Source organism: Homo sapiens, chromosome 7 (genome assembly GCF_000001405.40).
Source record: "Homo sapiens chromosome 7, GRCh38.p14 Primary Assembly".
Taxonomy (NCBI): Eukaryota; Metazoa; Chordata; class Mammalia; order Primates; family Hominidae; genus Homo; species Homo sapiens.
The window spans coordinates 77,080,824-77,095,202 of NC_000007.14; the positions used below are offsets into that span (position 1 = coordinate 77,080,824).

The 14,379-nt window shown below is 38.7% G+C and overlaps 1 pseudogene across 1 annotated transcript in view; it reads right to left on the reverse strand.

Moving 5' to 3' along the window:
• Nucleotides 1–831: 831 nt before the first annotated feature.
• The window catches only part of FAM185BP (family with sequence similarity 185 member B, pseudogene), a 40,635-nt pseudogene continuing 27,087 nt past the window's right edge, over nt 832–14,379 (reverse strand). Inside the window, exons 6-7 of the transcript NR_146190.1 lie at nt 13,179–13,274; nt 832–3,198 (exon numbers count right to left, since the gene is read on the reverse strand). The product of NR_146190.1 is annotated as a family with sequence similarity 185 member B, pseudogene (transcript). The remainder of the gene's footprint in view (nt 3,199–13,178; nt 13,275–14,379) is intronic.

Genomic DNA, 14,379 nt, shown 5'->3' on the forward strand with positions numbered 1-14,379 from the left:
TCAGAGCACAGTTAAACAAACTTGTATTATTGTTTTAGATTATTGGGACCAAAAATAGGTAACTCTCTTGGCTCCTTATCAAATTCAAGCATTAGATCACAAGTTGATTCTCACTATATTTGATACCCAGTCACACACTGCATAATTATGTTTCAGTCAACGATGAACTACAGAAATGATGGTTGTCCCATAAGATTATAATAGAGGTAAAAAACTCCTATCACCTAGTGACTTCGTAGCCATCCTAATGGTTGTTTAAATGCAATGCACTACCTGCATTTGTGGTGATGCTGGTGTAAACAAACCCACTCCACTGTCATAAAAAAGTATAGCACATATGTTATGTGTAGTTCATAATACTTGATAATGAGAATAAATGACCGTGTTACTGATTTATGTATTTACTATACTTTTTATCGTTAGAGTGTATATCTTCTGCTTATTAAAAAAAAAAAAAAAAGTTACGATACAACAGCCTCAGGCAAGTCCTTCAGGAAGTATTCCAGAAGAAGGCATTATCATCACAGGAGATGACAGCTCCACGTGTGTTATTGCCCCTGAAGGCCTTTCAGTGGGACAAGATGTGGAGGTGAAAGTGATACTGACATTCTTTACCCAGTAAAAGCCTAGACTAATGTGTGTGTTTGTGTCTTCGTTTTTAACAAAGTTTAAAAAGTAAAATTTAAAAAAATTAACAATTTTAAAAACAGAAAAAAGCTTACAGAATAAAGATAGACAAGTATATCTCTACAGCTGTAAAGTGTGTTTGTGTTTCAAGCTAAGTATTATTACAAAAGAGTCAAAAAGTTTTTTATTTTATTTTATTTTTTTCTGAGAGGGAGTCTCGCTCTTGCTCAGACTGGAGGGCAGTGGCGCGATATTGGCTCATTGCACCCTCTGCCTCCTGGTTTCAAGGGATTCTTTTTCCTCAGCCTCCTGAGTAGCTGAGATTACAGGCGCCCGCCACCACGCCCGGCTAATTTTTGTATTTTAGTAGAAATGGGGGTTTCACCATGTTGGTCACGCTGGTCTGGAACTCCTGACCTCAAACGATCTGCCCACCTCGGCCTCCCAAAGTGCTGGGATTACAGGCGTAAGCCACCGTGCCCAGCCTCAAAAAATTTTTTAAAATGTAAGTTTATAAAGTAAAAATGTTCTTTGGGAAGTTGAGGTGGGAGGATCACTTAAGGCCAGGAGCTGAAGACAAGCCTGGGAAACATAGCAAGGCCTTGTCTCTGCTAAAAACTTTTTAAAAATTAGCTGGGCATGGTAGTGCACACCTGCAACCTAGCTACTAGGGAGGCTGAGGCAGAAGGATCACTTGAGCCCAGAGTTTGAGTTTATAGTGAGCTATAATTGCACTCCAGTCTATGCAACAGAGAAAGCAGCTATCTCTAGAATAAATAAAGTAAAAAAGTTACAGTAAACTAAGGCTAATTTATTATTGAAGAAACTTAAAAATAAATTTAGTGTAGCCTAACTGTACAGTGTTTATAAAGTCTATAGTAGTAATGTCCTAGGCCTTCACATGCACTCACCACTCATCATACTGACTCACTCAGAGCAACTTCCAGTCCTACAAGCTCCACTTATGGTAAGTGCCCTATACAGGCGTACCATGTTTTATCTTTTATACCAGATTTTTACTGTACCTTTTCTATATATAGATATACAAATACCATTGTGTTACAATTCCCTACAGTTTTCAGTACAGTAGCCTGCTGTACAGGGTGTAGCCTAGGAATAATAGGCTACTACACAGCCTCAGTGTATAGTAGGCTGTACCATCTAGGTTTGTATAAGTTCACTCTATAATGTTCACATGACAACAAAATTGCCTAATAACACATTTCTCAGAATGTATCTCTGTCATTAAGTGATGCATGACTGTACTTAGATTTTCATCAAATTTTTGCCACTTAACTATGGGTTTGCCCATTAAGTGGCATGCAGTTATATCTGGGAGTGTATAGGTATTATTTTTATTCCTGTTATGTTTTTTGTTAATATTCTATGAATTTTAACAGACAACTTTCTTAATTTTCACGACATATAAAATGAATACCTAAAACTGAAATTTGATCTTATGAAGACCACCCTCCCCTACTCCCCAATTCTTCCTTTTTCTAGTTGGCATCTCATGGATTTAGCTTGTAGCATTCATCCCTATACACGGTCTAATTGCAATGTCCTCCTTGATGCCATTCTGGTAAAATTTAAAGGAAAACTTCACCAGCATTAATTTTTTTATTCATTAAAACAACAAACCTTGGCCAGGTGCAGTGGCTCATGCCTATAATCCCAGCACTTTGGGAGGCTGAGGTGGGCTGATCACCTGAGGTCAGGAATTTGAGAGTAGCCTGGCCAACATGGTAAAACCCTGTCTCTATTAAAAATACAAAAAAAATTAGCCAGGCATGGTGGTGCATGCCTGTAGTCCCAGCTACTCAGGAGGGTGAGGCAACAGAATCGTTTGAACCCGGGAGGCGGAGGTTGCAGTGAGCCAAGGTCACGCCACTGCACTCCAGTATGGGCAATAGAGTAAGACTCTGTCTCAAACAACAAAAAAACCAACCAATGACAAACCTTAAAAAAATAGTATCAGCCACCACTGTAGCCAGATATAATGAAAAATGTACAAAAACGATTCACATTTGTGCTACTGAGAATTTGTTGTTCTGAAAGAGCAAGTTTAAAATGTACATACCAAACAAAATTCCGATTTACTCCAGTCACACGAAGTTAGTTTTAAATTTTGCACTATAATATATGTATTCAGTTTAAGTTCGAGAATTAGAAAACAGCTCTTCTAGAAAATTTAAAAATCAATTTTACCCAATGACAGGACTAATGAGTCTTCCTAAATGATTTAATGAGGTCTTTTTAAACAAAATGTCTGCATCATATTAATGATAAGCAACTAGAAGAAAAAAAGATGTCAAACATGAGGACATAATAATGGAAAAATATAAAAAAGCTAAAATTTCCGTTAAGTGTACCACATTTCTACTTATGTATGGAGAATGGCTATTCATCTGACAGAGCAAAATGCAGCCTCCTTACCAGTCACTGTTACAACATCATCTTTACGAGCTTCAGCCATTTCCTGAACATGGACTTCTGAGTTCACATCAACCTCTTTCCCTGATAACTGTAAATGAGCTTGAAGTGAAGATGGGACCTTGACAATAATAGAACCTGTAATAAATATAATGGAGAGCTTAGTAATATAAAGAAATCAAAAGTACCAGAGTCTATTATAAATTTGACTGACAGGGTAGCATTGCTCCTGAGACACTGTTTTTACTCCTCAGCATACAGTATTTATTTAAACCTTTTCCTTATTCCCAGGTGCCCAAAGTTTCCTTACTCTCGGCATTCACAGTAACTTCTGTCAAGAATATGGGTTATTAGCACATTATTAACTACTAGATCTGCTTTTGCCAATAGTCCTACACAGCTCATCCAACACCAGAAAGTGAGTAATTTACTACACATGTAGCTTATAGATAGGATTTGCCATTGAGCATTTAATATGAGCCAGACCCCTAATTACATTATGTTTTAATCCCCATATTAACTTTATGAGGTATTATTATCGCCCCGATTTTATAGATAAGAACTTGCTCAAGTTCCCACTAGTGCTCGTGCTGGAACCTAGACTCAGCTCAATAATTACAAAGCCCATGCTTTTTTTTTTATTATTATACTTTAAGTTTTAGGGTACATGTGCACAACGTGCAGGTTAGTTACATATGTATACATGTGCCATGTTGGTGTGCTGCACCCATTAACTTGTCATTTAACATTAGGTATATCTCCTAATGCTATCACTCCCCACTGCCCTGACCCCACAACAGGCCCCGGTGTGTGATGTTCCCCTTCCTGTGTCCATGTGTTCTCATTGTTCAATTCCCACCTATGAGTGAGAACATGCGGTGTTTGGTTTTTTGTCCTTGCAGTAGTTTGCTGAGAATGATGGTTTCCAGCTTCATCCATGTCCCTACGAAGGACATGAACTCATCATTTTTTATGGCTGCATAGTATTCCATGGTGTATATGTGCCACATTTTCTTAATCCAGTCTATCATTGTTGGACATTTGGGTTGGTTCCAAGTCTTTGCTATTGTGAATAGTGCCACGATAAACATACGTGTGCATGTCTTTATAGCAGCATGATTTATAATCCTTTGGGTATATACCCAGTAATGGGATGGCTGGGTCAAATGGTATTTCTAGTTCAAGATCCCTGAGGAATCGCTACACTGACTTCCACAATGTTTGAATTAGCTTACAGTCCACCCAACAGTGTAAAAGTGTTCCTATTTCTCCACATCCTCTCCAGCACCTGTTGTTTCCTGACTTTTTAATGATTGCCATTCTAACTGGTGTGAGATGGTATCTCATTGTGGTTTTGATTTGCATTTCTCTGATGGCCAGTGATCATGAGCATTTTTTCATGTGTTTTTTGGCTGCATAAATGTCTTCTTTTGAGAAGTGTCTGTTCATATCCTTTGTCCACTTTTTGATGGGGCTGTTTGTTTTTTTCTTGTAAATTTGTTTGAGTTCATTGTAGATTCTGGATATGAGCCCTTTGTCAGATGAGTAGATTGCAAAAAATTTCTCCCATTCAGTAGGTTGCCTGTTCACTCTGATGGTAGTTTCTTTTGCTGTGCAGAAGCTCTTTAGTTTAATTAGATCCCATTTGTCAATTTTGGCTTTTGTTGCCATTGCTTTTGGTGTTTTAGACATGAAGTCCTTGCCCATGCCTATGTCCTGAATGGTATTGCCTAGGTCTTCTTCTAGGGATTTTATGGTTTTAGGTCTAACATTTAAGTCTTTAATCCATCTTGAATTAATTTTTGTATAAGGTGTAAGGAAGGGATCCAGTTTCAGGTTTCTACATATGGCTAGCCAGTTTTCCCAGCACCATTTATTAAATAGGGAATCCTTTCCCCATTGCTTGTTTTTGTCAGGTTTGTCAAAGATCAGATGGTTGTAGATATGCGGCGTTATTTCTGAGGGCTCTGTTCTGTTCCATTGGTCTATATCTCTGTTTTGGTACCAGTACCATGCTGTTTTGGTTACTGTAGCCTTGTAGTACAGTTTGAAGTCAGGTAGCGTGATGCCTCCAGCTTTGTTCTTTTGGCTTAGGATTGACTTGGCGATGCGGGCTCTTTTTTGGTTCCATATGAACTTTAAAGTAGTTTTTTCCAATTCTGTGAAGAAAGTAATTGGTAGCTTGATGGGGATGGCATTGAATCTATAAATTACCTTGGGCAGTATGGCCATTTTCACGATATTGATTCTTCCTACCCATGAGCATGGAATGTTCTTCCATTTGTTTGTATCCTCTTTTATTTCATTGAGCAGTGGTTTGTAGTTCTCCTTGAAAAGGTCCTTCACGTCCCTTGTAAGTTGAATTCCTAGGTATTTTATTCTCTTTGAAGCAATTGTAAATGGGAGTTCACTCATGATTTAGCTCTCTGTCTGTTATTGGTGTATAAGAATGCTTGTGATTTTTGCACATTGATTTTGTATCCTGAGACTTTGCTGAAGTTGCCTATCAGCTTAAGGAGATTTTGGGCTGAGACAATGGGGTTTTCTAGATATACAATCATGTCATCTGCAAACAGGGACAATTTGACTTCCTCTATTCCTAATTGAATACCCTTTATTTCCTTCTGCTGCCTGATTGCCCTGGCCAGAACTTTCAATACTATGTTGAAGAGGTGTGGTGAGAGAGGGCATCCCTGTCTTGTGCCAGTTTTCAAGGGGAATGCTTCCAGTTTTTGCCTGTTCAGTATGATATTGGCTGTGGGTTTGTCGTAGATAGCTCTTATTATTTTGAGATACGTCCCATCAATACCTAATTTATTGAGAGTTTTTAGCATGAAGCGTTGTTGAATTTTGTCAAGGCCTTTTCTGCATCTATTGAGATAATCATATGGTTTTTGTCGTTGGTTCTGTTTATATGCTGGATTATGTTTATTGATTTGCATATGTTGAACCAGCCTTGCATCCCAGGGATGAAGCCCACTTGATCATGGTGGATAAGCTTCTTGATGTGCTGCTGGATTTGGTTTGCCAGTATTTTATTGAGGATTTTTGCATCGATGTTCATCAGGAATATTGGTCTAAAATTCTCTTTTTTTGTGTGTCTCTGCCAGGCTTTGGTATCAGGATGATGCTGGCCTCATAAAATGAGTTAGGAAGGATTCCCTCTTTTTCTATTGATTGGAATAGTTTCAGAAGGAATGGTACCAGCTCCTCCTTGTACCTCTGGTAGAATTCGGCTGTGAATCCATCTGGTCCTGGACTTTTTTTGGTTGGTAAGCTATTAATTATTGCCTCAATTTCAGAGCCTGTTATTGGTCTATTCAGAGATTCAACTTCTTCCTGGTTTAGTCTTGGGAGGGTGTATGTGTCCAGAAATTTATCCATTTCTTCTAGATTTTCGAGTTTATTTCCGTAGAGGTGTTTATAGTATTCTCTGATGGTAGTTTGTATTTCTGTGGGATCGGTGATGATATCCCCTTTGTCATTTTTTATTGCGTCTATTTGATTCTTCTCTCTTTTCTTCTTAATTAATCTTGCTAGTGGTCTATCAATTTTGTTGATCTTTTCAAAAAACCAGCTCCTGCATTCATTGATTTTTTGAAGGTTTTTTTGTGTCTCTATTTCCTTCAGTTCTGCTCTGATCTTAGTTATTTCTTGCCTTCTGCTAGCTTTTGAATGTGTTTGCTCTTGCTTCTCTAGTTCTTTTAATTGTGATGTTAGGGTGTCAATTTTAGATCTTTCCTGCTTCCTCTTGTGGGCATTTAGTGCTATAAATTTCCCTCTACACACTGCTTTGACATACCAGAGCATACCAGAGATTCTGGTATCTTTGACATACCAGAGATTCTGGTATATTGTGTCTTTGTTTTCATTGGTTTCAAAGAACATCTTTATTTCTGCCTTCATTTCGTTATGTACCCAGTAGTCATTCAGGAGCAGGTTGTTCAGTTTCCATGTAGTTGAGTGGTTTTGAGTGAGTTTCTTAATCCTGAGTTCTAGTTTGATTGCACTGTGGTCTGAGAGACAGTTTGTTATAATTTCTGTTCTTTTACATTTCCTGAGGAGTGCTTTACTTCCAACTAAGTGGTCAATTTTGGAATAAGTGCGGTGTGGTGCTGAGAAGAATGTATATTCTGTTGATTTGGGGTGGAGAGTTCTGTAGATGTCTCTTAGGTCTGCTTGGTGCAGAGCTGAGTTCAATTCCTGGATATCCTTGTTAACTTTCTGTCTCGTTGATCTGTCTAATGCTGACAGTAGGGTGTTAAAGTCTCCCATTATTATTGTGTGGGAGTCTAAGTCTCTTTGTAGGTCTCTAAGGACTTGCTTTATGAATCTGGGTGCTCCTGTATTGGGTGCATATATATTTACGATAGTTATCTCTTCTTGTTGAATTGATCCCTTTACCATATTATGTAATGGCCTTCTTTGTCTCTTTTGATCTTTGCTGGTTTAAAGTCTGTTTTATCAGAGACTAGGATTGCAACCCCTGCCTTTTTTTGTTTTCTATTTGCTTGGTAGATCTTCCTCCATCCTTTATTTTGAGCCTATGTGTGTCTCTGCACATGAGATGGGTTTCCTGAATACAGCACACTGATGGGTCTTGAGTCTTTATCCAATTTGCCAGTCTGTCTCTTTTAATTGGAGCATTTAGCCCATTTACATTTAAGGTTAATATTGTTATGTGTGAATTTGATCCTGTCATTATGATGTTAGCTGGTTATTTTGCTCATTAGTTGATGCAGTTTCTTCCTAGCCTCGATGGTCTTCACAATTTGGCATGTTTTTGCAGTGGCTGGTACCGGTTGTTCCTTTCCATGTTTAGTGCTTCCTTCAGGAGCTGTTTTAGGGGCGGCCTGTTGGTGACAAAATCTCTCAGCATTTGCTTGTCTGTAAAGTATTTTATTTCTCCTTCTCTTATGAAGCTTAGTTTGGCTGGATATGAAATTCTGGGTTGAAAATTCTTTTCTTTAAGAATGTTGAATATTGGCCCCCACTCACTTCTGGCTTGTAGAGTTTCTGCCAATAGATCAGCTGTTAGTCTGATGGGCTTCCCTTTGTGGGTAACCCGACCTTTCTCTCTGGCTGCCCTTAACATTTTTTCCTTCATTTCAACTTCGGTGAATCTGACAATTATGTGTCTTGGAGTTGCTCTTCTCGAGGAGTATCTTTGTGGCATTCTCTGTATTTCCTGAATCTGAATGTTGGCCTGCCTTGCTAGACTGGGGAAGTTCTCCTGGATAATATCCTGCAGAGTGTTTTCCAACTTGGTTCCATTCTCCCCATCACTTTCGGGTACACCAATCAGATGTAGATTTGGTCTTTTCACATAGTCCCATATTTCTTAGAGGTTTTGTTCATTTCTTTTTATTCTTTTTTCTCTAAACTTCTTGCTTCATTTCATTCATTTCATCTTCCATCACTGATACCCTTTCTTCCAGTTGATCGAATCAGCTACTGAGGCTTGTGCATTCGTCACATAGTTCTCATGCCTTGGTTTTCAGCTCCATCAGGTCCTTTAAGGACTTCTCTGCATTGATTATTCTAGTTAGCCATTCATCTAATTTTTTTTCAAGGTTTTTAACTTCTTTGCCATGGGTTCAAACTTCCTCCTTTAGCTCAGAGTAGTTTGATTGTCTGAAGCCTTCTTCTCTCAACTCGTCAAAGTCATTCTCCATCCAGCTTTGTTCCGTTACTGGTGAGGAGCCGCGTTCCTCTAGAGGAGGAGAGGCGCTCTGATTTTGAGAGTTTCCAGTTTTTCTGCTCTGTTTTTTTCCCCATCTTTGTGGTTTTATCTACCTTTGGTCTTTGATGATGGTGACGTACAGATGGGGTTTTTGTGTGGATGTCCTTTCTGTTTGTTAGTCTTCCTTCTAACAGTCAGGACCCTCAGCTGCAGGTCTGTTGGAGTTTGCTGGAGGTCTACTCCAGACCGTTTGCCTGGGTATCAGCAGCGGAGGCTGCAGAACAGCGGATATTGGTGAACAGCAGATGTTGCTGCCTGATCATTAGTCTGGAAGTTTTGTCTCAGAGGAGTACCTGGCTGTGTGAGGTGTCCATCTGCCTGTACTGGGGGATACCTCCCAGTTAGGCTACTCGGGGGTCAGGGACCCACTTGAGGCAGTCTGTCCATTCTCAGATGTCCAGCTGTGTGCTGGGAGAACCATTACTCTCTTCAAGCCTGTCAGACAGGGACATTTAAGTTTGCAGAGCTTTCTGCTGCCTTTTGTTTGGCTGTGCCCTGCCCCCAGATGTGGAGTCTACAGAGGCAAGCAGGCCTCCTTGAGCTGCGGTGGGCTCCACCCAGTTCGAGCTTCATGGCCACTTTGTTTACCTACTCAAGCCTCGGCAATGGTTGGCGCCCCTCCCCTAGCCTCGCTGCTGCCTTGCAGTTTGATCTCAGACTGCTGTGCTAGCAATGAGCGAGGCTCCGTGGGCATAGGACCCTCAGAGCCAGGCGTGGGATATAATCTCCTGGTGTGCCGTTTGCTAAGACCATTGGAAATGAGCAGTATTAGGGTGGGAGTGACCCGATTTTCCAAGTGCTGTCTGTCACCCCCTTTCTTTGACTAGGAAAGGGTACTCCCTGACCCCTTGCGCTTCCCGGGTGAGGCGATGCCTCGCCCTTCTTCGGCTCACGCTCGGTGTGCTGCGCCCACTGTCCTGCACCCACTTTCTGACACTCCCCAGTGAGATGAACCCGGTACCTCAGTGGGAAATGCAGAAATCACCCGTCTTCTGCGTCGCTCACACTGGCAGCTGTAGACTGGAGCTGTTCGTATTCGGCCATCTTGGCTCCACCCCAAAGCCCATGCTTTTAACCACCATGGTATTTCACACACTCCTACCTCATCGTAGTACAGGACTTGTGACCTCATTATTATAACACAACTAGAACACTGAGCTCTTGTGCTTTCAGATGTGCCTTGTGTGTAACAAAAAATAACAATAGAAAAGGATTATTTGAATTCCAACTCACTAATGTTTCTTTTGAGTAGATTACAGGCTTTTGGATACCTAAGGTAAGACACTCAACCTGTATTTCCATACAACCTGGCTGTAATTCAAGCTTCTAAAGGAGTAAATCAGGAAAAGTACTCTGTTAGGTATGGAATCATTTTTCGAATTATGTGGGTTGCAGCGTAAATTCACCAACACACTCCTATTTCAGAAGTTTTTCTTCCTGTTTTTCATTAAATAAAGTAGGTAAAAGGCCCCTGCCATAAAGCATTAACCCCACCTCTGTGGACAAAGATAGTTAGGATGGGGTTTAGAATGCATTTACTTATGGGTCGTGGTTTTCCTTCCAATCTGGCTAACATCAGCTTAAGCTTCCTTAAGTAATTTCTTGGTCTTCCTAACTGGAGCTAGAAGTTTGAGATAAACATGATGAACTGTTCTATTCTAAAAAAAATTAGGGAACAATGCATATTACTAGAACTAGTTTATTTTATTAAGAAATAAATTGCAGCCAGGCACAGTGGCTTGTGGCTGTAATCCCAGCACTTTGGGAGGCCAAGGTAGGTGGATTGCTTGAGCTCAAGGGTTCGAGACCAGCCTGGACAACATGGTGAAACCCTGTTTCTACCTCCCCCAGCTCAAAAAAAAAAAAAAAAAAAAAAAGCTGGGTGTGGTGGTGCACAACTGTAGTCTCATCTACCTGGAAGGCTGACCTCCCAAGCTTAGGCGATCCTGATGAGGCTGCACTGAGCCATGACCTTGCTGCTGCACTCCAGCCTGGGTGACAGAGTGATACCCTGTCTCAAAAACAAAAACAAAAAACCAAATTTCTTTCCAGGGTTCAAATGTAAACTACAGACAGGAGATTCCCATAACAACATATGAGGGCTTTAGGAAAAAACAAAACAAAAACAACCCTGGAAGATTTCAGGATAAATAGAGGACACGTTTTTCTACCAAACATACTTTCAAAAGTAGAAAATCATGGATTTAAAAAACTTTTTTGTAGGGCTTGATATGTCTAAATGTATCAAGTTTCAAGTGTGCTAACTTTATGAACACTTGTCTCTGTTCTTAAATGCATAACATGATCTTAAATTTTTCAGATCTTTAGAAATGTTAAGCAATGCAAAGATTTCTACCCCATCTCCCTCCACATCTTTAAAAGCCAAAAACCACCTACCAAAACTCCATTACTGTTTGTGAATGAAGAATTTTCATGACTTGAAAACCTTCCTAATGTCCCATCTTTAACACTTTTTTAGAAAGGAGGGCTCTTGTTGTGTTCTTTAACCTCTTTTCACATCATTAACTTCTTCATGGTTGACATCAGTACTATCCTCTTAAAAATTCAAATGTGAACTAACAGCATCATTTATTGAAGGCATATTATGTTAAAATTAGTGATTTTCCCAAGGACAAAATGTTAAGTGGAAAAGTCAGTACTCAGATTCAGGTGTGACTCCCAGGCCCAAGCATAGCCTGGAACGAATTAAGAAGGTCACCATATTAATTTTCATAAGGTGAAAGAAAACAAGCATTATATATTTTTCCACATCAGAAAATGTTGAAGACCTAAGAGACTCCAGTGGCTGGCTCTGAACCCTACAGCAAGACAGTGGCAGAGTTGGAATGGATTCTGGATGTCTTTGCTAACCATTAAGAAAGAGTTACTGAATAACTTTCCATTACTCTTAAAAAGTTACTGTTCCCAAGTGTATTGAGAATTCGGAGATCTGAAGTAAGACAGAAATCTTTGTTTTCAGTTGTCTTTAAGCTTTTGCCAGTAACATGGTCCCAGTAGAAGAAAACATAAAACTGTAATCCTAATCAAATTTTGCAACATCAAATACTATTTCAATAGTTTCAAATACTATTCCAATATTGTTCCAGCAATATTCCAAATAATACTAAGAAATATTTTAAATGAATAAAGACTAACAATCTTCAAAAGTTTTACAGTTTTCTGTTTGTTTTATTTTGCCTACTGTGCAAAACATTAAATTATTTGTATGTAACAGCTGCTTATTCAAAACTTTGTTCTTACTCTGTTACTAGTTATATTAACAATATATCCTTCTTCTCTTTGGATCTTTGTGATAATGGAGTACAGTTATATGACTTACATGCCATTTATAATTTTCCCTGAAGCGTATTACCTGAAGCTCTTAGATTTAGTGAGGACATAAGTTTATCCTATTTTAAAGGGAGAAAATATGATATTGAGAAGTCACACCGGTGCATCAGCAATAACTGAGGTTTCAGACCTCTGTGTTTTGCAGTTTTGACACTGACAAATTCTAGAGATGGATTAAAAAAAACTATTACATCAATATGGTAAAGCAACTACTAATAGCAGGAACAATCAGTCTCTGTGAGGAAATATTTTCCTTGTTAAACATCTGGCCAACATGCAAGAGCTGCTAGACTATTTAAAAAATTTTTTTATACAGAGCTACAGTTCTTAACTTTCTGCAGCCAAGCCACTTCAGCCCCTATGGCCAACCTACTTCACCCAAGCCACTTGTCAACACATATGTGTACATCCATGTGTGCAGAAGAACAGACAAATTCATATTTATCTTTCAGATGAAAAGTATACCATTTTAAATGAAAGAGTTGGACTCAGAATAAGTTGTGTCAGAAGTTAAATGATAGAGACATATCATAAGTCTTGATACTTCAAGAGACTAAGTAATCACTTTAGAGGACCTTTCTGTGTGATACCTTTATTTAAGGATCACACTTTGAAAACTGTTACTCTACACTGATTGCCTGAGAAGTTCCTTTTACAGGCTGGCAGAGAAGCTTCCAAAAGAGTGTATGGCAGTGTTTTTCCTTCAAAGATTATTCTATTTCAGAATAGAATAAACTGAAAAATCCACAGAGTAACATTTAAAAATTCCATAATAACAGTCAAAATATTACATTTTTGTTTGTACTACAAAGGGAAAGATAGTCTGCATGGCCATCTATCCCAAAAGTTGTAAAGATCACTGGTCTAGAAAGCTAGCAGACCAGTGCCTTTAAATTAGGTTCTATCAGAAGATATTTTCTTGAAATCACTATGTCAGTATAGATAATTTGACCATCTGTTTCCTGAGTGTTACATAAACCTTCCTTACATCATATGTCAAAATAAAACATTCCAGTTCACTAACCTTTATGGGATTTCAATTCCACTTTCCCCAGTTGGCTGACATAAACATCTATGGCACCCTGATTAGTTGAGGCTTTTAGACATCCAGAAGACGAATCTAGGAAGAAGAAAAAACCATAAGTAAAATAACTCTTACTTGATAAATGGAATTACAAACTTGAAATAAAAGGCTCTGCTTTAGCATTAGGATAAGGGGCTAAGAATCTTGCAAGGTTTAGTATTTTCCTCATAACAATGCCATTGTTTGCACTTAAACGTAAACAGTTATCAGAAACCTAGAAATCTATTAAACAACTAATTTAAAAATCTTTATCTATATTAACCTGAATAACTTATCTCTAAACATTTACTCTAAAACTTTATGAGTAGGAAGGAGAGTCTGCAAGTAATGGTTCCTTTGACCACTAAGCATCATTGATATATTTAGTTTTTTATCATGTTGATACATTTAGTAAACTTTCAATAATTACCAAAGAATTCTACCTCATGTATAGTCACATACAAGCAGTAGCAAGGCTGACAAAAATCAAAACCTCTCATAATTTCTCCTTGTAGCAAATTTGCTGATACTAAGAAGTGCTCCTAATAGTAAAAGATTACTCTACATAAAGTTGTCGCATTTCTTTTTTTTTTTTTTTTTTTTTTTTTAGAGACAGGGTCTTGCTATGTTGTCCAGGCTGGTCTCTGACTCCTGGGATCAAGCGATACTCCTGGGATTACAGGCACAAACCCACTGTTCCTGGCTTGCTGCATTTCTTTAAGGGGCAGAAGGGCAGGGTGGAATAATTTGAAGAATAGCTTGTTTATATCTAATAGTTCTTTTCAAGTTTCTGGAATTGAACAGGTATCTTTAAGTGAGGATAAGAAAATAATAATTAAGATAACCCTGATTTGTCATTCAAATTTCCCTATGTGGTCGATGACCCCACTTTTGAATCAACCAGTATCTCAAGTTCAAGGGAAAACAGTCAAAATAAGGAAGTAAGGAAATGAACTTGAAGAGTTAGTGCTAAGTGGTTTTTCCTTCTTCTCTTTCTCCCATGGCAATTGAATCTTTAATTTAATATTCTATCTGACTGCCTGGAGAAAGCCAAAGCATATTCTTTTTAGAGAGGCCTCTTAAAAAGCATATTTTATCAGGAGGTTTTATTACTTCAAAGTGGAAACAAAGTAGGGAGTGTGGTGAAAACTATGCCAAAAAT